The following is a 26,065-nucleotide window of genomic DNA, read 5'->3' as shown; positions in this document are numbered from 1 at the left end:
GGCCCACCCTAACAACTTCGTTTCATCTTAACCACCTCTTTAAAGACCCTGTCTCCAAATACAACCACATTCTGAGGTGCTAGGGGTTAGGGCTTCAGCATATGAATTTAGAAGGAACATATCTCTACCCATAGCATTACCATGAGTAACTACCACGTAATGATAACAATAGCATTTATCAAGCACTTAATATGTGCTTACATGTACCCTCTCACTTAATTCTTGCCACAATCCTGTTTTCCCTCATTTTATAAATAAGGAGGCTAAAGAACAGAAAAGTCAAGCAACTTGCCCAAGGTCACACAGCTAGCTGGTGGCAGTGCTGGGATTCAAGCCAAAGCAGTCTCGGCTCCAGAGGCTGCATGCTCAACCAGTATGCTGTCCTTCAGTTCCGTAAGGATGGTGTTGGTTACCTGCTAACCATCCAGTGCTACTTTTGGCTCAGTAGAGAAAATAGAAGAATTCTGTGAATCTGCCTCTGCCTTTTACAAACTGCCCTGGTTGGAAGCCAAGACAAATGCGTACAGAATAATAGAGTGCAGAAAGCAGTACCTCACAGCGCATTGTTGTTTCATACGCAATGTGTCCCAGGGAGTTCTGCCGTTAGAAGTATTTGGAGGCAAAGGAATTTGAGGTAGACTTCAAAGGATAATGGAAATTTGAGTAAATTAAGAGAGGAAGAGGAGGCCAGTAGGAAAGAAAATAAAGGGCATTATCAAAAAGTGCAGCCAGGAGGAAAAGCACAGAGGGAGAACTTGCTGTGGAGTTTCTTCTCTGGGTCACCACTGACTATGTACAGGTAACCTCCAGCCCGTGTTGGGGGTACTCAGCCCCAGGGCCAGGGACTGTCCCTGTGGCACACATACCTCACCCCCGTTCAGCACCCAAAGTAGACCTCACAAGTGGAGCACCATACTCTTTTCACTGAGTATGAACTTGATGTCAGAATCCTTTTAAGTGAAATTCCCCAGATAAGCATGATCAGATCATTTGTTAGTTGATGCACCCGTATTTGCCGTCTCTCCCCTAGGCCTTTCCACAGGTGCTCAAGCATGGACAGGACACAGGGCCTCAGACCACTGGGGCAGTGGCTTTTCCAACCCCTGGACCCCCTCTCTCCCTCTTCTCCATTCTAGGGTCTTCACCGTGATTCTGGAACAGGTTAACGTCATCCAAAGCCACACAGCCCCAATGAGCAGCAAAGGAGCCGGCTTGGATGTCAAGGCCCTCAGAGCCTTCCGAGTGCTCAGACCCCTCCGGCTGGTGTCGGGGGTGCCTAGTGGGTGGCAGTGTCCCTGCAGACCCCTTTCTCCTCTCCCTTCCTGTTCCCTTGTCCCCCAGTTCTGGGTCCCCTTCCTACCTTGACATCTCAGGGGCTTCCCAGGATTTATAGGGAGGGAGGGCCAAGAGACCAAGCAGAGGCGACTCCTCTTTTCCCTTCCCTGCCTGCCTCTGCAGGCCTGCAGGTGGTCCTGAACTCCATCTTCAAGGCCATGCTCCCCCTCTTTCACATCGCCCTGCTGGTCCTCTTTATGGTCATCATCTATGCCATCATCGGGCTGGAGCTCTTCAAGGGCAAGATGCACAAGACCTGCTACTTCATTGGTACAGGTGAGCTCCCAGGGAAAGTGGGGCTGTGGGGCAGGGCCTAGGATGGCTCAGAAGGGGGAGCCACCCTACCTGGTGAAGGAGCCCGGAGCTCAGCCATTGCCGCCCACATCTGTTGACCTTGAGAATGGGTTTCTCCTGGATAAGGGGGACTTGGAGGAAGGGCAGCTCTACTGGAGTCAGTGAGCCAAGAAAGTGAGCAGGGGCCTGGGCCATGGCTGGTTCTGAAACACCGTCACCCCCCTGCCCCACATACAATGTGGTATGTTCCAGGCTCTCTGGACCTGTGGTAGATGGAGACATAGGCATGGGATAAGCTTGAATTTCTATGTGTACATTTCCTGTCGCATAGTTTTAGCTTTAGTCTGAGCTGACCCTCAGAGCAGGCACCCAGAATAGGGTCTGAATGGGACCTCAGAAAAAACACCCAAGAGCCAAATGGAGTCATTTTTTGAGTTTCCAGAAATAACCTACATTGAAGCCCAGATATATTTGAGCTGAAGCAGCAGTTCTCAAACTTTTTGGCCTCAGGACCCCTTTTCTCTCATATAAATTACTGAGGACCTCAGAGAGCTTTTGTTTATATAGGTTTTGATCTGTTGATATTCATGGTATGAGAAATGAAAACCGAGGAACATGTCACAATATTAATTTATTAATTCACTTTTAAAGAACAGTAAGAAACCCATGACATGAGAACATAAATAGTATATTTCTAATAAAAAATAACTAGATTTTTCCAAAACCAGTAATATTTGGTGAGAAGAGTGGTGACGCTATTTTACACTTTTTGTAAATCTCTTCACTGCCTGGCTTGATAGAGGCTGCTGGACTCTCACATCAACTTCTGTGTGTGTGTGCTGCCAAATCACAACTCATGTAGCCTCTGGAAAATTCCAGTCTACATTGTTGAGAGAATGAGAGACAGATGGGCAACTAACGTCTCAGCAGTATTGTGAAAATCATTTTGGTCAGGCCGACACTCTGAAAGAATCTCGGGTCCCACTCTGAGACTGGCTGCTCTACCCTGCCAGCAGCTCACTGGGACTTAGCCTCCTCCATAAGCCCTGGCATTGAACTCACCAGAATAACTGTTCTAGGCCTTCAGTGTCTCAGAAGACTCTACTCACCTCCTCATGACCGCTGACAACAAAGGGACAGTCAACACCAGTCCTAAACCCAACTCACAAGAGTAAACTCTGGTCCAGCTTTCAGGGATTATATTCCTAGACCCCTCCCATTTCAGCCTCCTCCCATCACCACCACAATCTACATCCTATCATAAGCATTATCAGGATGGATAGGAGGTGACCTTTGATCACACCTTCAACCCAAATTTGGAGGTCTCACTGGTGTTCTCATGAGATCTTGAGGAATGCTGAGCAGCAGTGCTCAAAAGCCCCTCTCGGATCGGGGCTTCTGACTTCATGGGGTCAGGGCCCCTACAGACCCATCAATGTCCTCTCCTTTCCATCTTCAGAGCATTGAGCCTACATGGTAAATAGATAAATATGGGTAAGGCAGGGTGTTCCAGTTCTGATGAGCCAATCTAATCTCTGAACACAAAAGGAGACTGTAAAACATCCTAAGATAAAAGGAGATGCAGGATGTCATCAGAAGTACAGGATTTTAGAGACAAGAAAGCATCATCCAGGGGAACAAAGGAGAGTGCAGGCTCGGGCCTGGTGGGAACTTCCCCTGAGTGCAGACCCCTGCCCCGTCAGCTGGGTATCTTGTAAAGCTCAGCCCAGTGCTTTTGGAGCTTCTCCAATTTCACCTCCCAGACAGAACTCTCAAGTCAGAACATGTGAGCCCTCCACCTCCAGCCCTGCTCCAGCCAGGCAGCTGCCTTCTTTTTTAAAGTTCTGTGGGGACAAATGACACTCAGATTACTCCTCTTTCATGGGTTGCACTGCTTAGGACAATTAATCCTAGAAGCCGACCCTGCCATGAGGCCCAGGGGCCCAAGACATAATTCCCGCTGCCTGTAGCCATCCTCAGCCCAAGGCATTCCTCTTCACTGTCACCGTCTGCTCCATGTGAAGCTGTCTTTTGCATTTTCAGCAGAGTGTCTTTAGACTTACTGCTCAATTCTCTTAAATTGCTCTTATACACCTTTCCTCCTGTCGTTGTCCACCTACTACTGTTGTCTGATGTTCCCTTTGCCTTCTGCCTCCAGATATCGTGGCCACGGTGGAGAATGAAGAGCCATCGCCCTGCGCCAGGACGGGCTCAGGGCGCCGGTGCACCATCAATGGCAGTGAGTGCCGGGGCGGCTGGCCAGGGCCCAACCATGGCATCACCCACTTCGACAACTTCGGCTTCTCCATGCTCACCGTGTACCAGTGCATTACCATGGAGGGATGGACTGACGTCCTTTACTGGGTGGGTCTGGGCCCGCGCCTGCAGAACCATCTCCCTTCATCCACAGGCTTGCAAGGGAGTGGGGAGGGAGGGCTTGCCAGTCCACACAGGAGGCCAGTCTCTGACTTGCGTGACCACAGCTCCCTCTTGCTCCTCCCTGGGGAATCTATACAGGATGTGTGTCCCTTTCTGGTTCCCAGGTATGTGCCCCAGCATCCTATGGGGAAATCCCCATGATACAATATGTCTGTGCAGGATCCAAGGGGCGGGTGAAGAATGGAAACCAGGAAAAACCTGGCTGTGAGTGACTCAATTCTGATGGCTTAGAATTTCACACTTTTTGAGGAACGAAGGGCCCTTTGAGTCTTTTTCCTTGCCTCTGCAAGACTGCTTTCCCATATAACTATTATTAGATATTAGTTTCCTCACCTATAAAATAAGGATAATAATACTGTCTATATCAGAGTTAGTGGGAGAATTACAACAGTGCCCGGCACACAGTCAACACTCCAGTAAGAGTTTCTTTGTTGGAGTATATTATTTATTTGGTGTTTGTTAAGAGCTAGATTTCTTATTTCATCCTTCAATGATGGAAGGCATTGCTCCCATTTTACAGATAAAGAAACTGAGGCTCAGAGAGATTAAAGTAACTTGCCCATGGTTAAGAACTTAGTGAGCAACAGAGCCAAGAATCGAACTCTGATCCCCCTGGCTCCAATCCAGAATTAACCACAATATGACGCCGCCTATTGTGGGGGTGGGGGGATTGTAAAACTGTCAAATGCTTTGCAAATACCAAGGATTAGTACAAATATTTATTGTAAGTGTGTATTAGGAGAGCAAATTATTTAAAATGTCAAAGGACTGTCACATGTATGATTTCACCTCTGTATCAAGCCTGTGAGGAGAGACAGCCCATGTCATTATCGCCATTAGATGGTTGGGAATAATGCTCAGAGATGTTAGGTGACTTGTCCGGGGTCACAGACGTTGTTCATTTGAAAAATCTTGGCTTTAAATAAATCAACTGGAGATAGAGTCTATGAGGGAGATCAAGTGAGGGAGGCAGATAGGAGACACTCTTGGTTGGAGGGAAATTAGGTCAGTCTTGCCCGGGCCAGGTAGGCAGTCAGCAAGGTCTCCCTAGGGAGATCCTTCCAGACCAGATCCTAGTCCTCAGGCTGGAAAAGTTCTTCCAGACTAGTCCTCAGGTTAGGAAAAATGTCCCCTCAATATCCCAGCGTGGCTTCTCTCCTTGTCCCCCAGGGTTGGGTGGAGTCTTAATGAGCAGACTTGGGGAAGAGGAACCAAGCCCTCAACTCAGAGGATCACACTTCTGTCCTGACCAGGTCAATGATGCCATCGGGAATGAGTGGCCCTGGATCTATTTTGTCACCCTCATTTTGCTGGGATCCTTCTTCATCCTCAACCTGGTGCTGGGTGTCCTGAGTGGGTAAGAAATTCAAAGGTAGCCAGGGGAGAAAAGAGAAAGAGGAGGAGGGGAGAAGGAGGAGGAAGGAAAAGGAACGGAGGGAAAAGAAACAGGAGGGGTGGGGGGCGAGTGGAGAGGAGGAGGAGAGAAGGGAGGAGGAGGAAGGAGTGGAGCAGGGCAGGGGGCTGTGAGTCAGGCCCTCGGCTCATCCCTGGGTTCCCTGTCATCTCAGTTGGGCCAAGAGCGCTTCCTTCCTGGTGAGCAGGAAGAGAGGAGAGGCACACAGGAGCCCTTCAATTTTTAATTTGCCTTTTTCCTCCTCCTCAAGTCTTCCCCCATTCTCACCCCTCCCGTCCCTCTGTTTTGACACTCCTCAGTGAAGCCCCTGAAACTCCAGCCTCCTGGCCCCGGGGGTGCCTAAGTGGAGCCTTAGCACTAAGAGGCGGTGGGGCTTTCGGTTAAGCACACAGACTCTGGAGCTAGAATGCCCACATTTAAATCCCTGCACTACTGCTTGGTGGCTGTGTGAGCTTTACCTAATTACCTAACTTCTCTGTGCCTTAATTTCCACATCTGCCACCTAAGAATTATTTCAGTATCTATCTCATAGGGTTGTTGTCAGGATTAAATAAGTTAATACATATAAAGTACTTAGAACAGAGTCCAGCACAAAATAAGCACTAAATACTAATGGTCATTATTAATGAGAGCTGTTCTCTTTGAGACCAGTCCTGCTGTCATCCCTCCACCCACCCCAGCACAGCAGAGAGGCTAGAAGTCACCATCAGCCTTCTTCCCCATTGGTATCATCCCATTCCAGAAGCTTCCTTCCAGGCAGTCTATAGATAGAATTCTGGGAGTCTGTAAACTTGCATAGGAAACATTTATCTTTATTTTTCACAATTGTAACTGAAATTTAGTGTTTCCTTTAGTAATGAACATAGGCAACAAACCACAGTGCTATTAGCAGGGCCTATGACTTGTCCTAATAGAAATCATGTCACATTACAGTTGTTGCGAATAGTATTTACACTAACTACTCCATACTTTGAAATTATGATAGATATAAAACCTGCAGCTAGATCTTGCTAATGAGTTAATGAAAAAGCAAATGTATTACTTGATCACAATTTTTTTGTATGGATAACTATATTTTAACATACAGTCATGTGCTGCATGATGACATTTCAGTCAATGACGGGCTGCATCCACAACAGTGGTGCGCTAAGATTGTATCTTTACTGTACCTTCTCTATGTTTAGCTATGTTTAGATCCACAGATACAATCGCCTACGGTATGCAGTATGGTAACACGCTGTCCAGGTTTGTAGGCTAGGAGCAATAGGCTATGCCATGTAGCCTAGATGTGTAGTCGGCTCTCCCATCTAGGTTTGTGCAAGTACGCTCTTGATGTCTGCACAGAGATGAAGTCACCTAACAATGCCTTTCTCAGAACGCATCCCAGTCATTAAGTGAAGCCTAGCTGTAACTGGCTTCTTTGTCATGCTATGGTTTTATTTTGTGCATTTCACATTATTCTGAAGAGAGATCCATAGGCTTAACTGGACTTTCAAAGGGTCCATGGCACAAACTGGTCAAGAGCCCCTCCCTGGACCCCACCTGACCAGGGCAACTCGACCTGCCCTGTGGGCCAACCCCTCCTGGCTGCCAGGCGCAGCTCCTCAGAGACTACCCCTGTGCTGTCTTCTTCCTCCTGCCCTGCGGGGCAGGTGGTCATAGCCCAGGGCTGCCCTCTGCTGGCCTGAAGATCCCTCATGGAGCCTTGGGTCCTTTTCTTCCAGCCATGCCAACTGGTTCCTTGGAGTCCAAGGAGAATTTTCCCCAGGCCTTTGGTCTGTACAAAACTAAATTTCTAAGGTAGTTTGAAGGGTTGGGGCAGTATGGCCAATTTGAGGCTCCGTGGCTGATTCAGTTAGGCAATGGACTGCCTTGTCATTAACCCCTAATGTGCAAGGGGAACCCCAAAACAAGGCAGGAGACAATGAGATGGATGAGAAGAAAGAAATGAGGAAGGGGCAAGGAGTACTCCAGGATGTTCCTGGAGGGTGGGGACGGGTGAGCAGGAAGTGAGAGGGGCTGTCTCTCAGCCACCTTGAGGGGCACCTGGACCCCAGGCAACACCCCGGGGCCAGAAAAAGGAGCGCTCCAGTCACAGAATGGGCTTGTCTGTCCTCAGGAAGCTCAGTCTTTCCTTGACACTGTTCCCTCTTCTCCTCCTCTCCTGGCTCCCCCATCTCATTTCAGGGAATTCACCAAGGAGCGGGAGAAGGCCAAGTCCAGGGGAACCTTCCAGAAGCTCCGGGAGAAGCAGCAACTAGATGAGGACCTTCGGGGCTACATGAGCTGGATCACGCAGGGCGAGGTCATGGATGTTGAGGACTTCAGAGAAGGTTTGGGCCCAAAGGCTGTGGTCAGCACTCACCCCACTCTCTCACTCCCACCTCTGAGTCATACCTTGCAATCAGGCCCACTGAGCAAGTCCAACATTAGTCCTTTGAGGGTGAGTGACTTGCCTAAAGCAAAATGGCTCAAAATGGTAAGATCCAGGTGTGACCAGAGCTCTTCCCAAAGGTACTTGCTGCCCATCCTCATAGCGCCTCCCCTGCAGATAAAGTGGGCTCTTTAGCTCTTGGAACTCTCAGTCTCTGGAAAGCACGAAGCAATCCAGGCCTACCTAGGACCCATTGTTGCAGATGTCTCTGGTCAATGGGCCCTTGTCTCGGGTGCCCAGTCCAGGTGTGTCCAGCCCAGAGGGGCCCCGAAGGCTGGCTGACTCTTTCTCTCCTGTCTCCAGGAAAACTGTCTTTGGATGAAGGTGGCTCTGACACAGAGAGCCTGTATGAAATTGCAGGCTTGAACAAAATCATCCAGTTCATGTGAGTATCTGCCCACTGCCCCAGGAACCCCCAACCCCCAGCTCCCTGAGACATGAGGGTAGAGTCCAGTTACTTCCCCTCAGTGGTTTCAGAGTCACTTGTCTAATCCTTTAGAAAGGCAGCCTTTTTAAGAAAATAGGGCCAGTTCCTGCTCTGAGGGACTCCGCAGGGACCAGATCCTCGGGGAATGTGTGATCAGAGGGGTCCTGAGCAGATGACCTATTTATATAGCACATAAGAAGGACACTGGGAGCCTCCAGGAGCAGTGAGCATGCTTGCTGCTACTTCACCCTGATCAGGGCAGAGCTGGGTGAGGTCATTCATGTTGGAAACCTCTGCGAGGGAAGAGGGAAAGTGTACACAGCAGAGGCTGCACAAACCGGGAGCCCCTCAGGAAGGAGGCTGGAGGCAAGAGCACACTCCACGCTCTCTCGCCATTGTCTTAAGAGGAGGGTTTGTTTATTTGGTTGGCTGTTTCCTTTTACAAATTCATACTTAATTATGATTTTGAAAGATCAAACAATAGAGCTATACATCAAAGAAAAGATGAAGGTCTCCAGTGCCCTTCAAAGAGGTAACCATGGTAACAGATGTGCAGCCTCTAAGATCTTTTCTGTGCTTTCATCCGTCTTGCACACACACACACGTGCCAGGATTTTTTTGTTTTTGTTTTGATTTTTTACATAATGGGGTTGTTTATGTTAACTACTGTCACCACAGGGACTAGAAGAGTGCCTAGCACATATGAGGTGTTGCCAAATATTTGTCAAATAAATGAATATAATACACACTAAAGGATAATCCAATAAAGGATTATCTAGTTACTTACCTTTTTTTACTTAAAATTATCTATTGAGAGCAATTTTCGGAGCAGATTCACTTTCCTTCTTGTATCTTTGGATGTAAAACATTCCACAGGATGAATATGCCATAATGTAGTTAATTTTTCCCCTCTTTGGCGATACAAACAGTGCTGCAGGGAACAGTTGTGGATGAGTATGACCACTTCTGCCAAAGGAACTCTAGAAATAGACTTGCTGGGTCAAAGGGTATAGCTACTCCCAGCTCCTCGGAAGTCTGAGGTGGGAGGGTCACTTGAGCACAAGAGTTCAAGTCCAGTCTGGGCAACCTAGCAAGACCTGTCTAAATAAATAAATAATAAAACATTAATAAACAGAGCATATAGACTTTAAATTTTGGTAAGTGCTGCCAATTCATCCCAAAAAGATTGTACTGTCAAAGCTCATTTCCCCTCACCCTCCCCAGATATTATTAATTTGTTGAAGAGTGGCCTTTGATAAGGGGCAAAACGTGGCATCTCAGAGTTGCTTTAACTAAAATTAAACCACACGGAGCGTCTGCTCCTTGCCAGGCACTTGTGCTAAGCATTTTGCGTGCATCCTCTCATTCCATTGCCTCGGAGGTTTGTGTCATTATCGCTCTTCTGTGAAAGATGGAGGATTTTACTCAGTCTGGCTCCCTAGCTCATGCCCTGAGCTTCTCTCATGTGGCTGGCGGAAGTGGGGTGGTCAGGCTACGCATGCCTGGAGTTTGTCTGAAGGTAGCTTGGACAGGTGGGGCGTAGAACAGCACAGCACTGTAGACCATCCTCTGTCCCCTCCCTCAGCCGACATTGGAGGCAGTGGAACCGCATCTTTCGCTGGAAGTGCCATGACATCGTGAAGTCCAAGGTCTTCTATTGGCTGGTGATTCTCATCGTTGCCCTCAACACCCTGTCTATCGCCTCAGAGCACCACAACCAGCCTCTCTGGCTGACCCGTTTGCAAGGTGAGGCGGAACGGAGTGAAGCCGGGAGGAGGGCACATGTGGCTGTGGCTTGATGTCAAAATCAGCCAATGGCACCACAGGTTGTGCAGAAGAGGTCAATTAGATATTGACATCATTTTTCTAAAAATTATGGACCATGAGTGCTGGATTATATGACCTAATCAGCTCCTTTCACGGGGGTAAAACGGAGACCTCAAGTGGCAAAGCAACATACCCAATTTTCCTCTTCATGGCTTTGTTACTTACCAAGGTCAGTAAAAGCAATAGGCTGGGACAGGTGCTTGCCCAGGTGTCCGGGCAGATTATTCCAATCACAGATCACTGGACATAAAATTGCTAGTAATTTGGAACTCTAAGCACCCAAGTTCAAATTCTACAAAAACAACAGTCTTTCACCAACTATTTATTGAGTGCATCCTACATGTAAGGCACAGGAAAAGAACTCAGGATACAGAGAACACTAATACACCACTCCTGGCTTCAAGGAGCTTACTTAGCCAGAGGGGAAGACTGATCTTAATAAATAATTCCAAGTCAATAGAAGGAGGGCAATGATAGAGGTAAATACAAGGTAGCAGCAAGAGGAGAATCACAGAAGAGATGCTGAAACTCTGTGGATCTTAAAGGATAGGTAAACAAGCCCTAGGCAGTCAAAGGGAGGAGGGGATCCTGGAGAAGGAACAGTGTGTGCAAAGATATGAAGACGTTAAACAGTTTAGTAAATTCAGGAAGCCGTAAGAACTTTGCATGTGACTAAGAGAGTGGCAACACATGTGTTTGCTCATGGGGGCCTTGTGTTAGGCCATTCTTGTGTTGCTATAAAAAAAATACCTGAGGCCGGGCGCGGTGGCTCACGCCTGTAATCCCAGCAGTTTGGGAGGCTGAGGTGGGTGGATCACAAGGTCAAGAGATCGAGACCATCCTGGCCAACATGGTGAAACCCCATCTCTACTAAAAATACAAAAATTAGCTGGGCGTGGTGGCATGCACCCGTAGTCCCAGCTACTCAGGAGGCTGAGGCAGGAGAATCGCTTGAACCTGGAAGGTGGAGATTGCAGTGAGCCGAGATTGCACCACTGCACTCCAGCCTGGTGACAGAGCGAGACTCTGTCTCAAAAAAAAAAAAAAAAAATGCACCTGAGACTGGGTAATTTATAAAGAAAAGAGGTTTGGTTGGCTCACAGTTCTGCAGGCTTTACAGAAAACATGGGCTGGCATCTGCTCAGCTTCTGAGGAGGTCTTGGAAAGCCTACAATCGTGATGGAAGGCAAAGGGAGGGCAGGCATGTCACATGGCGAAAGCAGGAGCAAGAGAGAGAAAGAGTGGGAGGGGAGGTGCCACACACTTTTAAATGACAGGTTTTGTGGTGAACTCAGAGTGAGCTGACTTAACACCAAAGAAATGGCCCAAGCCATTCATGAGGAATCTGTCCCCACAATCCAAACACCCCCCACCAGGCCCCAGCTCCAGCATTGGGAATTACATTTCCACATGAGATTTGGGCAGGGCTGTCTATCCAAACGATATCAGGCCTTATATGTGAATAAAGTGTTGGACTTTACACTTTAGGCAATGGAAAGCCAGTGAGAAGTTAAAAGCAAGAATATAATGTGATCAGACTTGAGTCTTGGAAAGATCAGTCTTGGTGGAAGGTCAGTGAGTCGGCCTCGTCCACATGGTAGATGTTCACCTGGGTGTGAAGCTCTGGACCGTGAGACGAGTAGGATACGAGAAAAGACTGACCAGTTCCAACAACACGGTGGACAAACTCAGTGCCCTCCCCACTACAAACAAGTAACACTGCTGCATAAGGCATAAGAATGATGTTTCCTGGAATGAAAAGGAAGTCTTTTAGTGGCAGAAACAAAGAAGTGACCCAAAGCCAGAGCAGCGAGCTTGTGAACTGACTTCCAAGGACATTTTAGGCCTAGGCCTAAACCCTAATGGGTAGCAGCTGGGTTCCTAAGGCCTGTGCAGGGCTGGAGACAGGGCCCTGGACCTGCATGAGGTGGGAACTGGCACTGTCATACCTACATAGAGCCAGGGCCCTGGAAAGTCTGCCCCCATGGAAGGGAAGCCAAAATCTCACTGGGCCAGGAAATGAGCTTGGAAGTTTATTCCTGCTAGAGGCCCTGGGAGAAAGGAAAAATGTCTCAAGTGAAAAATCAAAATCCTATCAGTGCCTTATATAGGTATGGGGTCCAATATACACTACCTCTCATGGTCCAAGGATTCTAAACTAAGATAGTAACATAAAAATCAAGTTGCAAACAAGTAAAATCCCTGGGGTACTCAACAGAAGCAAACATAAACCATTCTTTAAGGATGCTTCTTAATCTAAGGCATATAGAATTTCTGAAGGGAAAAGTGTTTCCTGAAGATGAGATCACAATTAAAAAAACAAACAAACAAACAACAACAAAAAAAAACTGCAAACCAAATAAGGAACAGAGCCACCCTGAGAAAGAGTCATCAGGTACAATCAATGGAAGCTGGCAGCCCCAAAAACCTGAGATGATAGAACAGTACAAAGGAGACTGTTTAAAATGATGAAAGAGGTAAAAGAAGGAAAATAAATAGAAAACAAGATTATCTTTTTCTATGGGAATGAAATAGGAAACAAAGCTAGTTTTAAATTACTAGCTACAGGTCAGATGAATTCATTCATTCATTCATCTCAACCAATCTTCTCGAGAGCACCGTGAATGTGCCAATCGTTGTCAAAACACTGTCAATGACCAAATGTGGAGATGATGTGAACAGTGCCCACCAAGAGGAGTCAGGGGTGATTTTGAGGTTTGTGACCTATGCAGATAAATGGCTAGTAGTGCCACCTACTGAGAAAATGGTTAATGACCAAGTATTTGGGGTAGTGGGGGAGGATGAGCAGTATCCCTGAGCTTTGTCTTGGGCATGGTGAGTTTGATGTGCCTTTGAGACATCCCAATGGATATGTCAAGGTAGCAGACAGAAAAATAGGTCTGGAACTCAGCAGAGCAGTCTCAGCTGAAGAACTAAATCTGGGACGCATTGGAGGGGATGGTCTGAAGCTGTGGTCTTAGATAACACCAGATCTCCAGGGGAGAGTGTATACTCAAGGGTATCACTCAAATCAAGCATTCAATGACTCGCTGTTTCATCCTGCTGAACCTTCAGCTGGAATTGCCCCAAAAGCTGTGGTAGGGGAATTCTCACAAAGGACTACCCCAAACAGTCTTGAGATAGGGTTGGTTGCGATTCCAAAGAAAGAAGCACTAAATGCCAGGGTGATCAGTCCAAAGCTTTTGTTGGGGAAACTTACTATACAGAATGTTGCAGCAATTCTCATGATGGACAGCAAGAGAAAAGGGGTGTTCTACCCAGACTTATCCGCAGCAATGGGGTCAGGGCATGGACTTTAGATAAGGGTTTAAGGAATCTGGCTCAGGGCTGTGGCCAGTTCCTTTCAATGTTTGGGGCAACACCTATTACCTTTATTAGTGCCTAGGAATGTTCAAGGCCCCAGTTTGAGGTCAAGCCTGCTGAGGAAAACCTGTAGCTGCGGGTCCCAGAGCGGTCAAAGCGCTCTGCGATTTTCAGTCAGGACACAGAAAGAAAGTGGAGGGGTAGGGGTGGGGAGAACTGGAAGACCCTATACTTGCTGATGTAAAGAATGCATCTGCAGAGGAGGCTTAGGAAAATACAGAGAAGTAGAGGAAACCCAGAAGGATGTGGCACCACAGAAACCAAGGACAGAATGCTTGAAAAAGCAAGAGAATGGTCAACAGTGCCCAGTGCTGCTGGGAGGTCAGGAGCAGGAGGGTTAGATTAGCATTGGATGTGGCAGATCGATGCCCCTGGAGAGAGTAGTGTTGGTGAAGTAGTGAGGGTGCATCCAGGTAGGGATGAGGTGAAGAGCAAATGTGGCAGGGCAGGGGGTGAAGAAGTGAAGAGAGCAATATAGACAACTTTCGGGAGTTTGACGGTGACAGGGAGGAGAGAGCTAGGATAGAAGATAGAGGGAAAATGGGAGAGTCTTGGGTTTTTTTGTTTTTTTTTTTTTGAGATGGAGTCTCACTCTGTCACCAGGCCAGAGTGCAGTGGCTTGATCTCGGCTCACTGCAACCTCCGCCTCCCAGGTTCAAGCGATTCTCTTGCCTCAGCCTCCCGAGTAGCTGGGACTACAGGCTCATGCCACCACACCCAGCTACTTTTTGTATTTTTAGTAGAGAGGGGGTTTTACCATGTTGGTCAGGCTGGTCTCGATCTCTTGACCTTGTGATCCACCCGCCTCGACCTCCCAAAGTGCTGGGATTACAGGTGTGAGTCACTGCGCTCGGCCTAGACTTTGGCTTTAAGAATGGCAAAGTGAGGGTCCATTTGAAAGAAAGAAGTTAAATATATAGGAAAGAAAAAGAATCACGGACAGGGAGCTTCCCGAAAAGGGGGAGGGGGCAAAGCGTGGGAGGATGGATTGGCTTCAGGTAGGTGGCAGGACCCTTCTCTACCAGGAGGGAGGTGTATAGGAATGAGAGAGTAGCAGACTTAATGAACTTCAGTAGAATTAAGAGTAATAAAATCCTCTTCCTGTTAAATATGATATGAGTTAGCTTGCAAGAAATCAATGGGCAAAATTTACCGGGTTTTTTTTTTTTTTTTTTTTTTGAAGCTAATTTAAAAATTCGCTGGGCATAGTGGCTCACACCTGTAATCCCAGCATTTTGGGAGGCTGAGGCCAGTGGATTGCTTGAGCCCAGGAGTTCAAGACCAGCCTGGGCAACATGACGAAACCCTGTCTCTATTAAAAATACAAAAAACTAGCTGGATGTGGTGGTGCATGCCGGTAGTGGGGAGGATCACTTGATCCTGGGAAGTCGAGGCTGCAGTGTGCCATAATTGTGCCACTTCACTCCAGTCTGGGCAGAGTGAGGCCCTGCCCCCTGCACCCCCAAAAAACATCCATGGTGCCTTGGAAACAAGGGAAGGGGCGTCCTGGGTTGAGGCCCAGCCACAGCCAAGGCTGGGAGTCAGGAGAAGGGAAGGAGAGTGATGCCGGGGCTGTGCCACCAACCCTACAGACATTGCCAACCGGGTGCTGCTGTCCCTCTTCACCACTGAGATGCTGATGAAGATGTACGGGCTGGGCCTGCGCCAGTACTTCATGTCTATCTTCAACCGCTTCGACTGCTTCGTGGTGTGTAGCGGTATCCTGGAGATCCTGCTGGTGGAGTCGGGTGCCATGACACCCCTGGGCATCTCCGTGCTCCGCTGCATCCGCCTCCTGAGGATCTTCAAGATCACCAAGTGAGTGCCGGGGTCGGCTGGCACTCCCGGGTCCCCGGCAGGCACCACGGGCTGGTCTGGTCTACACCCATCTCATTTCCTGAGGTCTGGGATCTGTGCAGGTTCACCACTGGTCCCTTGCCCAGACTTCCCTCCCTCCTTGAAATAACCTCCTTCTGTGAAAAAAGAATCACTTCCCCACTTTGAACTCATTTCTCTGTTTTTTTTCTTACCATAGTCTATGGCAGGGCAGGGAGTGGGGGTGGTGGAAAAGAGAAAGGAAGAAAAGAAAAGGAAAGATGGGAAGAGGGAAGGAGGACAGGAAGAGCTGTAGGGAAAGGGGTGGAAATAAGAAAGAAGGAGGAACACAGACTATCAGGGCCTTTGTGAGGTGGTGAGGGAAGTGGAGAGAGGTTCATCTGCTTGCACTATTTATCCGTCACTTGCATGAGCTGGGTACTGTGCTAAGCACAGGGCATCGAGGGTGCACAGGAGAAAAGCTGTCCTTATTCTCACGGGGTTTCTCGTCCAGTGATGGGACCTAAAGTTAATCAATAGTCATATTAACCAGCGTGAAATTACAAACAGACAAGTGCTCTGCAGGAAGGAGAGAGTGGGCATGCAGCCATGAATCCAGGGTCTTCCAGCAGTGAGGCAGCCCCCTCCCTCTGTGTCACATCAGTCCTGAGTCTTTCCCCCAAGCCTGTCCACACCTCGTGGGCCCCAGTGAGAGGGTCTGTCTCCTCCCACCTTGTGCCTCCTCTTCCTTCAGATATTGGACGTCGCTGAGCAACCTGGTGGCATCCCTGCTCAACTCCATCCGCTCCATCGCCTCCCTGCTGCTGCTGCTCTTCCTCTTCATCGTCATCTTCGCCCTCCTGGGCATGCAGCTCTTTGGGGGGAGGTATGACTTTGAAGACACAGAAGTACGGCGCAGCAACTTTGACAACTTTCCCCAAGCCCTCATCAGCGTCTTCCAGGTAGGCTCTCCCTCTGCGTGTCCCTCCTTCTGAACGGTTGCTGAATCCTGCTTCTTGTCCTTCAAGATCAAGGTGGGCATCACCTTCTCCAGGAAGCCTTGTCTGATCTGCTGGTTGAGTGCAATGTCCTTCTCTGGGCTCCCCTATCACCTGTGCTTCTCTCCATTGTAACACTTGCTTATGGGTCTCCTTCACTGCAGCTGCACCTACTTTGTCTGATTAGTCTTTGTTTCTGGTGCCCAGCACAGTGCTGGCCTACTGCAGGATAATATGACTGGGTTAGGGATGGCCTGGGAGTCCGGATGCGTGCTTTCATGTGCCACTCAGGTCTCAGGGCAAAGTCAGATAAGGGGAGCTTTTTCTCCCGAAGGCTGAGAAAGCCCCAGAGAAACGCAAACCATTTCTCACTCTGCAGGGGCGGCACAGCCGATTCACTATCAGCCACCCAAGGGAGCATGGCTGTGGCCCAGTGAGAAGCTTTCAGGGTCCCTGGCCTCCTGGAGGAGTTTTCTTAGTGTAGACGTGGAAACATTCCTCTCTGGAGTGGCCCATATTTCATGAGTGACACCTCCCTTTTGTACCAGTGAGAAAGGCAGTGTGTGATCGTCCGTCGATCCTCTCTTTCTTCCATTAGCCCCACTGGCTGGTCAGGCCTCCGGCCTTTCAAGAGACTCGACATTTCACAGGACTTCTAAGGCCAGAATAACAGGAGGCCTGGGTGGGTGAAGCACAGTGAAGCCCGGGGGTTAGGAAGAGAACAGGGAAATGGTGAGCCCACAGTCCAATTTCTTGTCCATAGAGAGCAGCAATAAGCTTCTAGATCACTGGGATAGGGGTTTTGTTTTGTTTTTCGAGATGGAGTCTCGCTCTGTCACCCAGACTGGAGTGTAGTGGCACAATCTCAGCTCACTGCAACCTCCACCTCCTGGGTTCAAGCAATTCTCCTACCTCAGCCTCCCAAATAGCTGGGATTACAGGTGCCCACCACCATGCCTGGCTAATTTTTGCATTTTTAGTAGTGATGGGGTCTCACCATGTTGGCCAAGCTGGTCTCGAATTCCTGACCTCGAATGATCCACCCATCTCGGCCTCCCAAAGTGATAAGTAACAGGCGTGAGCCACTATTCCCCAGCTGGAATAGGGGTTTTGGGGATAGCAGGGGCTGGCCACCCAGACTGTGGAATGAAAAGAGGGAAGGTCTGAGAGAACCACAGAGTTGGAGGAGAACTTCGGTCAATGCGGTCCCAATAGAAGACTCTCAGGCCCCTCTGTGTTCCCGAGCCCTCTATCCTCCCTCCATACAGGTACTGACAGGGGAAGACTGGACCTCAATGATGTACAATGGGATCATGGCCTACGGCGGGCCGTCCTACCCTGGCATGCTTGTGTGCATTTACTTCATCATCCTTTTCGTCTGTGGCAACTGTATCCTCTCGGGAGCAGGGTGCAGAAAAGAGCTTAGGGAGGGGGTGGGGGAAAGGGCTTAAAATGGGGGTCAAGGGTGTCCAGTTTCTAGGTAGCCAGGCCCTCTGGCTGGAGGGGAGCTCCCAGGCCCATGCGGTAGGGGGTAGGACATAGCAAATGCAGGTACAGCTGTAGGATAATTCTTTGTGCCAAAAAGATTAGAGACTCACAGGGTTGTTTGGCTACAGCTGGGAGGAATTAAAAGCCCAGTAAGGTCAGTGAGCCTAGAGCAGTGGGGAGGAAGGACAGAGCTTTGCTGAGGAACATGAAGATGGTGGGACAGCCTTCTCCAAAGGTTCAGAGGCAGGCAGGGAGCCACCAGGACCCTGTGGCCGGGATGATCAGTCTGAGCGCTGGGACCAGAAGGACGGAGCCAGAACAGGCTGAGAGATGAGAGGAGCAGATATGAGGGTAAGGTGGATGGGGCCGGAGAGTTACTGGCAGTGCCTGAGCCGTCCTGGTGCCTGCACCTTGGAATGTGATACTATGGGGAGTGGGGAGGAAGGGCACCGTTGTTCCCCAACTCATGTGTGCCTCGCATGGGTCTCACTTGTTTTGCCTCACTGGCTCTCCACGCAGCTCAGTGTGGGAGCTGGGACCAGTCTGGACAGGAAACGGATGGGATTCAAGGCCACAGGATTCAGGCTCCTTCCTGGGTACTCTCAGCAGGCAGGCTTCCCTGAGGGCCTTCCACTATGTCCCTGGATCCACACCTTCCCATGGGTAGCTCTGGGAGAGTGGGGTTAGGTCCTGCCCACATGCAGGCAGACAGAACTCCTGCCCTGCAGGCTCCCTTCCACCTACAACCAAAGGCTCCTTAGCTAAACCCGCTCAGACATCCTGCTCAATGTCTTCCTGGCCATTGCCGTGGACAACCTGGCCGAGGCGGAGAGCCTGACTTCTGCCCAGAAGGCCAAGGCTGAGGAGAAAAAACGCAGGAAGATGTCCAAGTGAGTGCTTCCTTAGCAGGAAGGGACCTGGAGTGCTCAGTCGTGGCCATGGCCTTCCAGCTCTGGACAGGGCCTCCCTGTAACCCAATGATCAGGGTCCCTGACATGGTGACACCCACCTCAGTGGGCAAACTTCTGTAACCTGCACATGGGGGTGGCTGAGATCCTTCCCTGGGGGCAAGAACAGAGACAAGTTGGCCTTCTGGACAGACAGGCCTCAGGATGTAGAATGCCAGAGCCTCAGAGCCTGGCCAGTTGGGCAGGGCTCCCCTGCGGAGGGATCCTGGGAATTCCCCTCCCAACCCTGTCACTGAGTCGCTATGCCTCTGGGCGGGGTTGGAGTTCTACATCGAACAGGCTCCCCGGTGGTGCCCATGCTGCTGGTTGGAGGATTATGCTTCAAGTACCTAGGTTCTAGACAGAGTTCTGCTTCTTCCAATGCCCATGCCTACAGGAATGGGACACCCATTCCTGTGGAGGCAAGATGGAAAAAGAGGGACCAGCAATGGAGTTCAGACATTTCTAAAGAGTTGGAGCCATCTTGGGCAAACCATGCTTCCACTCTATGAATCTCGTATAAACCCAGTACAAAGCCACACTCCACCCATTCACTATCAACCAACGTTAAACATGGCTGACCAGTGAGCCACCGGTAGCCATGGGCCCATGCTGTGTGTCGGGCCCTCTCACCACAGAGAAGGGACTTGCCTGAGCCCACTGCCCTTCCCATTTGGGGGCTGATGCCACTCCTCCTACAGATCCCCTGGAGCCCTTGGTGTGGGATCCTCCTGAAGGTGTTGTCAGGTTCAGCAGATCCCTGAGAACTTTCTGGTTTGGCTTCCACTTTGGGTTTTCTAACTCAGGGGTCTCCCAGACAAGTCAGAAGAGGAGAAGTCAACGATGGCCAAGAAGCTGGAGCAGAAACCCAAGGGTGAGGGCATCCCCACCACTGCCAAGGTGAGCACCTCAGGTGGGGATGTTAGAGGCAGTCTAGGGGCTCTTCCAATCCATGGTTCCCTTCATACCACAGGGTACAGGTGGGGTAGGGTGGGGAGGTAGGAGAGTTATCAGCCAGGTGAGGGCATCTCCCTGCGTACGACTGGAGGGAGAGCCAGCGAATCCATCTCCAGGGACTCCTGCACTGAGAGGCACAGCAGACCTCCCAATCTGGGAACCAGACTTCTCCAGCGTAGCAGCTTCCCACTCCAGACCAAGGAGGTATTTCCTCTCCCTGACACCCGCTGTTCCACTGAGAGGCCCAGACCGGCTTCCACCATTGCTAGCCCTGCCCTGCTCATTCCCATCTGACTCTGCTCACCATTCCTGAAAACTGAGGAAGTGGAGTTCAAAAAGTCAGGGAACTGGGCCCAGAGAGGCTCGAGGTCCTGGCCTGGGGAAGCTCAACTCCCTTCTGGAGAACCAAGCAGTGGGTATGTGAAGATAGAGTCAGACAGGCTAGGGCGGGCTCAGGCCTTGCCCCGTGGGAGCTTTTGCAAGTTGTCTGGCCTTGCTGGGCCTGGCCTCTCATTTGTAAAATGGGGATGATCATAATATTCCCTGTTCCTTAGGCTGTAGGGATGATTAAGTGAGCTGAACGCTAACAGGCTCTCCAGTATATGCTCATTGAGGGGAAACCGCAACTTCTTTTTCATTGTTATAGTCATTGTGTTCCTTCCTACAGCTGAAAATCGATGAGTTTGAATCTAATGTCAATGAGGTGAAGGATCCCTACCCCTCAGCCGACTTCCCAGGTGAGGATGCTGGAGACTGGACTGGAGCAGGGTGCTGGGGTGAAGTAGGGGTGTGCCGGTCCTGAATTCTCCCCATGGGCAGTCTCTTGTGTGTCCCTACCTGTACCCCTCCATGTGGAGATCAGAACACCGGAGACATCCCTTCTGTGCAAATAAGCCATCTGCCAGCTTGTCTCTCTCAACAATGCACACAACAGAAAAACCCATACATTTTACTTTCATGTAACTCAGCAAGTATTTATTGAGTGCCAGCTATGTGCCTCACTGCCAAGGACTCAGTTTTCAAGAAGCACAGGGACACGTGGGTATACAAGTCTTCCCTGCCAGTCATGCAGAATGGATCATAAATGAGGACACGCCCATATATGTCGTGATGAGGCAGATTACTCACTATCCAGTGTCTGGTAGGGCTGGGGGCCGGAAGGATACAGGGATGGATAGAACCATGGCAGGCAATGTGGGAAAGTCCAAGAGGAGGAAACAATGGTGGGGTAGGGGGAGCATGGATAAGAAACAACCGTGGATAAACCACAAACATCTCATAAATGCAAATAGCCAGTGACTGCTGCAGAAATCCCATTTATCTGGACCAAGAAGAGGACAAGCAGAACCAGGCTGAATTAATCTTACCAGGCCACCTGACAGAGCCCTGGGGCCCAAGAACTCTCTGGGTCCTGGGTCCTTCGGATCACCGGGTCAGTGGGGCAATTTTAGATCTACTTGTCCCATCAGCTGATCAGCTACTTGTATGTCTACTTATGGAATCAGCTGATTAGCATCTGTTTGCCCCAGTGACTCTAAGCTCCAGGGGGACTTTTGTGTTCCACACAGCACAGTGTTTGGCTCAGAGGAGGCACTCAATAAATTGAATGAATGAATGCATGAAAGAATTTTGCAAAGTGAAGTATGGGGAGAATGGAGCTGGTACAAATAAGAATAATGAAATTTCTTCAAATATCTACCAGCAATGAATATTTGTGTTTTAGAATAACTCATTTTGAGTTGTTTCATCTAACAGTTATCACCTCTTAGATGGCAGTGACTTGTGTGCAGGTGAGATGGTGGCTGACAGGAAATCTGAGGTCAGGGACAAGGAAGGGGCTGGAAAGAAGTAAGGAGAGGAGGGGTAGAGGGGGTGTGGGCTGGACAGCAGGAAGAGAGTCTTACCAAGGGGACTGAATGTGTTTATATCCTGCTTCTTTCTAAAAATAGTTTGAAATGGCTTACAGCAAAAGATATGTGCAATGAAATTAACAAACTGGGCATAGGTGGAGGAAGTAAGAAGGCGGGGGAAAGATGCAAATATGCTAACTCGAAGAATTAATGGTCTCTGCGATTAAGCGTGAAATGTGTCTCTGGGGTCTGTGGCAGGCTGGGCAAGACAGAAAGTGTCACGTTAGGACACTCATTCCAAGGAATAAGAGTTCTAGCTTCTCGGGGGAACAGAAAAATTGGAATGTGACTTGGTGGATTTGAGAACCCCTACAGGTGGCCATGATGGAGACAGTAGAATCCAGTAGCTCTTGGCTTCCCTCAAGGCCTCTGCCAGGGGCCAGGAGGGTTAGGGAGGAGGTAGCTGTCAGGGGAGGGAACCAAGAGAAACCCCAGCTTTGAATAGTGCCCCCACCGTCTGATCACGGGATTCTCCCACCCTGGGAGCTGAGGATTTCGGGTACTCAGCTTCCTCTTGAGGTCATGAGACTCAGTGAATGTGCTTGGAATGTCCGTCTCTTCATCCCCTATCCCCTGCCTGCATCCTGGGGACTGGGTGAAGCTCAAGAAATTCTGATTGCTTTTTTCCATGCTGGAAGAAGCTTCTCTGTGAAGTTACTATTTTTAAAATCCTAGCCCAGGAGAGGATCACAGGGTCCTTTTATTTCAACAACCCTCCTGCCCCTTGTCGGTTTCACAAATTGGAAACTGACGCTAAGGAAGGGCACAGACCTTCCCAGCACTGCACAGCAAGTTAGACGCAGACCTGGGACTAGGACCCAGGTCTCTTCTTCTGAAGCAGCGTTTCCCACTCCATCCCCCAGCCTATGGATATTTGAGGCTGTGTGGATCGAGCCTTGAGACACAACATGCAGCCACAAAGTTACTTGGGCTTGCTCCTTGCCCCACTTCTGGAAGGTTGTGGGCTTCCCTTACCTACCCTTGACGCTCAAATCTGCTCACTGTGAAGAGAAGGAGATGCCCGGGCTGGACTCTGCCAAAGCCCTAGGGTCCCAAGTCAGCCTGGTGGTCCCTTGCTTACTGGCTGCAGGGGCTCCTAGGAGGGCTCTGAGCACAGAAGCCATGGGCATAGCAAAGCATGGGAAGACACCCCTAATTCCTCTCTCTCTCCCCACAGGGGATGACGAGGAAGATGAGCCTGAGATCCCGCTGAGCCCCCGACCACGTCCCCTGGCTGAGCTGCAGCTGAAAGAGAAGGCCGTGCCCATTCCAGAAGCCAGCTCCTTCTTCATCTTCAGCCCCACCAATAAGTGGGTGCCCCTTGGCTGCTGTGGGGGTGATTGATGCGGCTCTCATCTGCTTCCCTGCCCTAGAAAAAACCCTGTCTGACTCTCCATGCCTACAGTTATACTATGAGAAACTCAGTGTTTTAGCTTAAGATCTTGTGCCCTGTTTAAAATGCTAGTATATCTGGGAAAAGTAATGCTTTAAACCTTATCAGTTATTTACACCTAAGAGGGACCTGTTTATTGGTTCCTTTCTGAGAGAAGAGCTTTAGACAGGTCAAGGGGGAGAGAGCAAGGGAAGCTATAGTTTTTATCGGCTTCATAATTTTACACCTTTAAACTATACACAGGCCATAGTCTCTGTGGAGTTTCATCTGTCTGCCTCATGGATAGAGACCAGCCTGTCCCATTTTCATTTGATGGGAAACCTCAGGGTGGTGCCATAATTGCAGGAAGGGGCAGGTGGTGGGAGGGGCTTGGCTGGGAGGAGGAACTAAGGCTTTAGAAACAGAGTGAGAGGTCAGGGCCCCCTGTGTGTCCAGCCAGAGGACCCTGCAGGTGCAGGGCTGCACTTCTCTCCTGGCCAGGGAGGAGCAGGAGGTGTATTCCATGTTCGTCCGCAGGATGGAGGCTGATGAGGCCTGAGCCTCCAGCAGCTCACAGCTCCCCTGCCCTCCCTACCTCGCCCCACCAGGATCCGTGTCCTGTGTCACCGCATCGTCAATGCCACCTGGTTTACCAACTTCATCCTGCTCTTCATCCTGCTCAGCAGCGCTGCACTGGCTGCGGAAGACCCCATCCGGGCTGATTCCATGAGAAATCAGGTGACGGGCTTCACCCTCTCTGCCACTCAGCACCCCTGCCCCCTCCAGCCTCAGTCTGGTGCCCAGGGTTCAGCTGTATCCTCTATGTGGCTACAAGCATCAGAGTTTCTTAGAGTTCAGTTCCTCAGGGATAGGACTGCCCACTCCACTCCTTCTGAACGGCACAGGCTGGGGCACAGAATGGCTCTGACTGCCTGCTTTATGCTGCTGCTGCTGCTGATACTGTTGCCCCCTCCTCCTCTCACTGGCTGCTCCCGCCCCTGCCCTGTCCCCAGATCCTTAAACACTTTGACATCGGGTTCACCTCTGTCTTCACTGTGGAGATTGTCCTCAAGGTGAGTGAAGGCTGTGGGGCAGCCCTGGGGAGGGAGTTTCCCTGATGTGGCTCCAGTTTACACACACTGAACTCAGGGGCTGGAGAGAAGCAGAAAAGAGGTGGAGACTGGCAGGAAAGACTCATGGGACCCAGCACACCGGCAGGCCCACAAGTATCTGGATGGAGGGCTGGAAAGTAAAGCCCAGCCAGCCTGTGGCTCCCCCATCCACAGAGTACAGCCCATGTCTTGAAGCCTCAGGCATTTTTCTTTTTATTTTTTCTTTTTAGATGTCGTCTCACTCTGTCACCAGGCTGGAGTGCAATGGCACTATCTCAGCTCACTGCAACCTCCACCTCCCAGGTTCAAGCGATTCTCCTGCCTCAGCCTCTCAAGTAGCTGGGATTACAGGCGTCTGCCACCACACCCAGCTAATTTTTTGTATTTTTAACAGAGACAGGGTTTCACCATGTTGGCTGGGATGGTCTTGATATGCTGACCTTGTGATCCGCCCACCTCAGCCTCCCAAAGTGCTGGGATTACAGGCATGAGCCACCTCGCCCAGCGAACTCTCGCATTTTTCTTCCATACAGTTAGCTTAAGAGCAGACCTGGTGGCCGGGCGCAGTGGCTCACGCCTGTAATCCCAGCACTTTGGGAGGCCGAGGCGGGCGGATCACCTGAGGTCAAGAGTTTCAGACCAGCCTGGCCAACATGATGAAACCCTGTCTCTACTAAAAGTACAAAAATTAGGCAGGCATGGCGGCAGGCACCTGTAATCCCAACTACTCAGGAGGCTGAGGCAGGAGAATTGCTTGAACCTGGGAGGCAGAGGTTGCAGTGAGCTGAGATCATGCCACTGCACTCCAGCCTGGGTGACGAGAGAGACTCCATCTCAAAAAAAAAAAAAAAAAAAAAAAAAAAAAAGAGCAGAGCCGGGGAGCTGTGTGATTTGTCATCCCTAGACCTCTGTTAACAGTGACTGGAAAGGCCTTTTCCTCCAAGAGTCCCCAGAGAAGTGACTGCTGCCCTGAGCTGGGTTCCTGGCAGCTCTGCCCTATCACGCCTTTTCCACACCTTATCCACAGCACGTCACTGCTCACCCATTCCCAACACAGATGCACGGGGTTCCAGCCATCCTGGGGGTGGTGGGCTCTGGGGGCAGAAGGAGAACCCATCTATAACTGAAACCCAGTAGCCCCCGCGTGCACATTCACAAACTAAGAGAGGAGAAGCTAGCCGAGCCCCAGGAACAGGCTCAGAGCAGGCTGTGGTGTGAAATCAGGACAGTACCTTATTTCGGGGCCTCAACTATTGAAGGAATTGAGTAGAGGGAGATGGTGGCTTCCTCGAGGTCAAGAAGTTTGTGGAGTTTGGGGCACGAGAGCCAGAACTTGAAGTTGGACAGGCCTTCACTGGGTAGAGATAGCTAGGGCGGCCTAGGACAGACAGTAGCAAGTGCATTATAAGGAGATCTGGGGACATTGCCAGAGAGGATAAAGTGGCCCCTTTGGGCTGGGATATATTGCACATACAGGAGGCCTGGGTGCCGAGTCTGGGAAGGCAAATTAAGACAAAATCATATAGGTCCCTGAATGCTGGGAAAGGTTTCAACCCTGTTCGATTTTAAGGGCAAAATGCATTTGTGCAAAGGCATGGGAGATTATTAGAGAATATATCAAAGAAGCTGAGAGGGGAGCAAGAAGGCAGGTGATGGGAAGGAGGTGGAGAGGGAGGAGAGAGGGCCTAGGACCCCTAGAGTCCTGGAGGGCTTGTTCAGCCTGACTTAGCAAACCACAAGGCAGAGGGGATTGCCCAAGAAGCTTTCCAGGAAGGAGAAGTTTTATGTCCCACAGGAGACAGTAGGGCCAGGGCTCCCCCACTCTGTGGCCCCATGGGAAAGGAGACCCAGGGTTCCCTATGGCATGTAAAGAAAGAGACTTCTGGCCCAGCTGCCCGTGAGAAGTCCTCAC

At 50.0% G+C, this 26,065-nt stretch overlaps 1 protein-coding gene across 2 annotated transcripts in view; it reads left to right on the top strand.

The window, feature by feature from the left end:
- The window catches only part of CACNA1S (calcium voltage-gated channel subunit alpha1 S), a 72,915-nt gene that overhangs the window by 19,176 nt on the left and 27,674 nt on the right, over positions 1 to 26,065 (top strand). For both annotated transcript variants that reach the window (XM_005245478.4, NM_000069.3), the window contains exons 4-19: positions 1,137 to 1,279; positions 1,459 to 1,611; positions 3,788 to 3,993; positions 5,322 to 5,425; positions 7,670 to 7,815; positions 8,220 to 8,301; positions 9,929 to 10,089; positions 15,147 to 15,372; positions 16,124 to 16,331; positions 17,636 to 17,756; positions 18,631 to 18,745; positions 19,609 to 19,702; positions 20,427 to 20,496; positions 22,847 to 22,979; positions 23,650 to 23,779; positions 24,055 to 24,114. In XM_005245478.4, the coding sequence (XP_005245535.1) occupies positions 1,137 to 1,279; positions 1,459 to 1,611; positions 3,788 to 3,993; positions 5,322 to 5,425; positions 7,670 to 7,815; positions 8,220 to 8,301; positions 9,929 to 10,089; positions 15,147 to 15,372; positions 16,124 to 16,331; positions 17,636 to 17,756; positions 18,631 to 18,745; positions 19,609 to 19,702; positions 20,427 to 20,496; positions 22,847 to 22,979; positions 23,650 to 23,779; positions 24,055 to 24,114 (2,152 nt within the window). The remainder of the gene's footprint in view (positions 1 to 1,136; positions 1,280 to 1,458; positions 1,612 to 3,787; positions 3,994 to 5,321; positions 5,426 to 7,669; positions 7,816 to 8,219; positions 8,302 to 9,928; positions 10,090 to 15,146; positions 15,373 to 16,123; positions 16,332 to 17,635; positions 17,757 to 18,630; positions 18,746 to 19,608; positions 19,703 to 20,426; positions 20,497 to 22,846; positions 22,980 to 23,649; positions 23,780 to 24,054; positions 24,115 to 26,065) is intronic.

Source organism: Homo sapiens, chromosome 1 (genome assembly GCF_000001405.40).
Source record: "Homo sapiens chromosome 1, GRCh38.p14 Primary Assembly".
Lineage (NCBI taxonomy): Eukaryota > Metazoa > Chordata > Mammalia > Primates > Hominidae > Homo > Homo sapiens.
The sequence above is the reverse complement of the archived record's forward strand: the minus strand, read 5'-3'. Positions and strand labels throughout refer to the sequence as shown.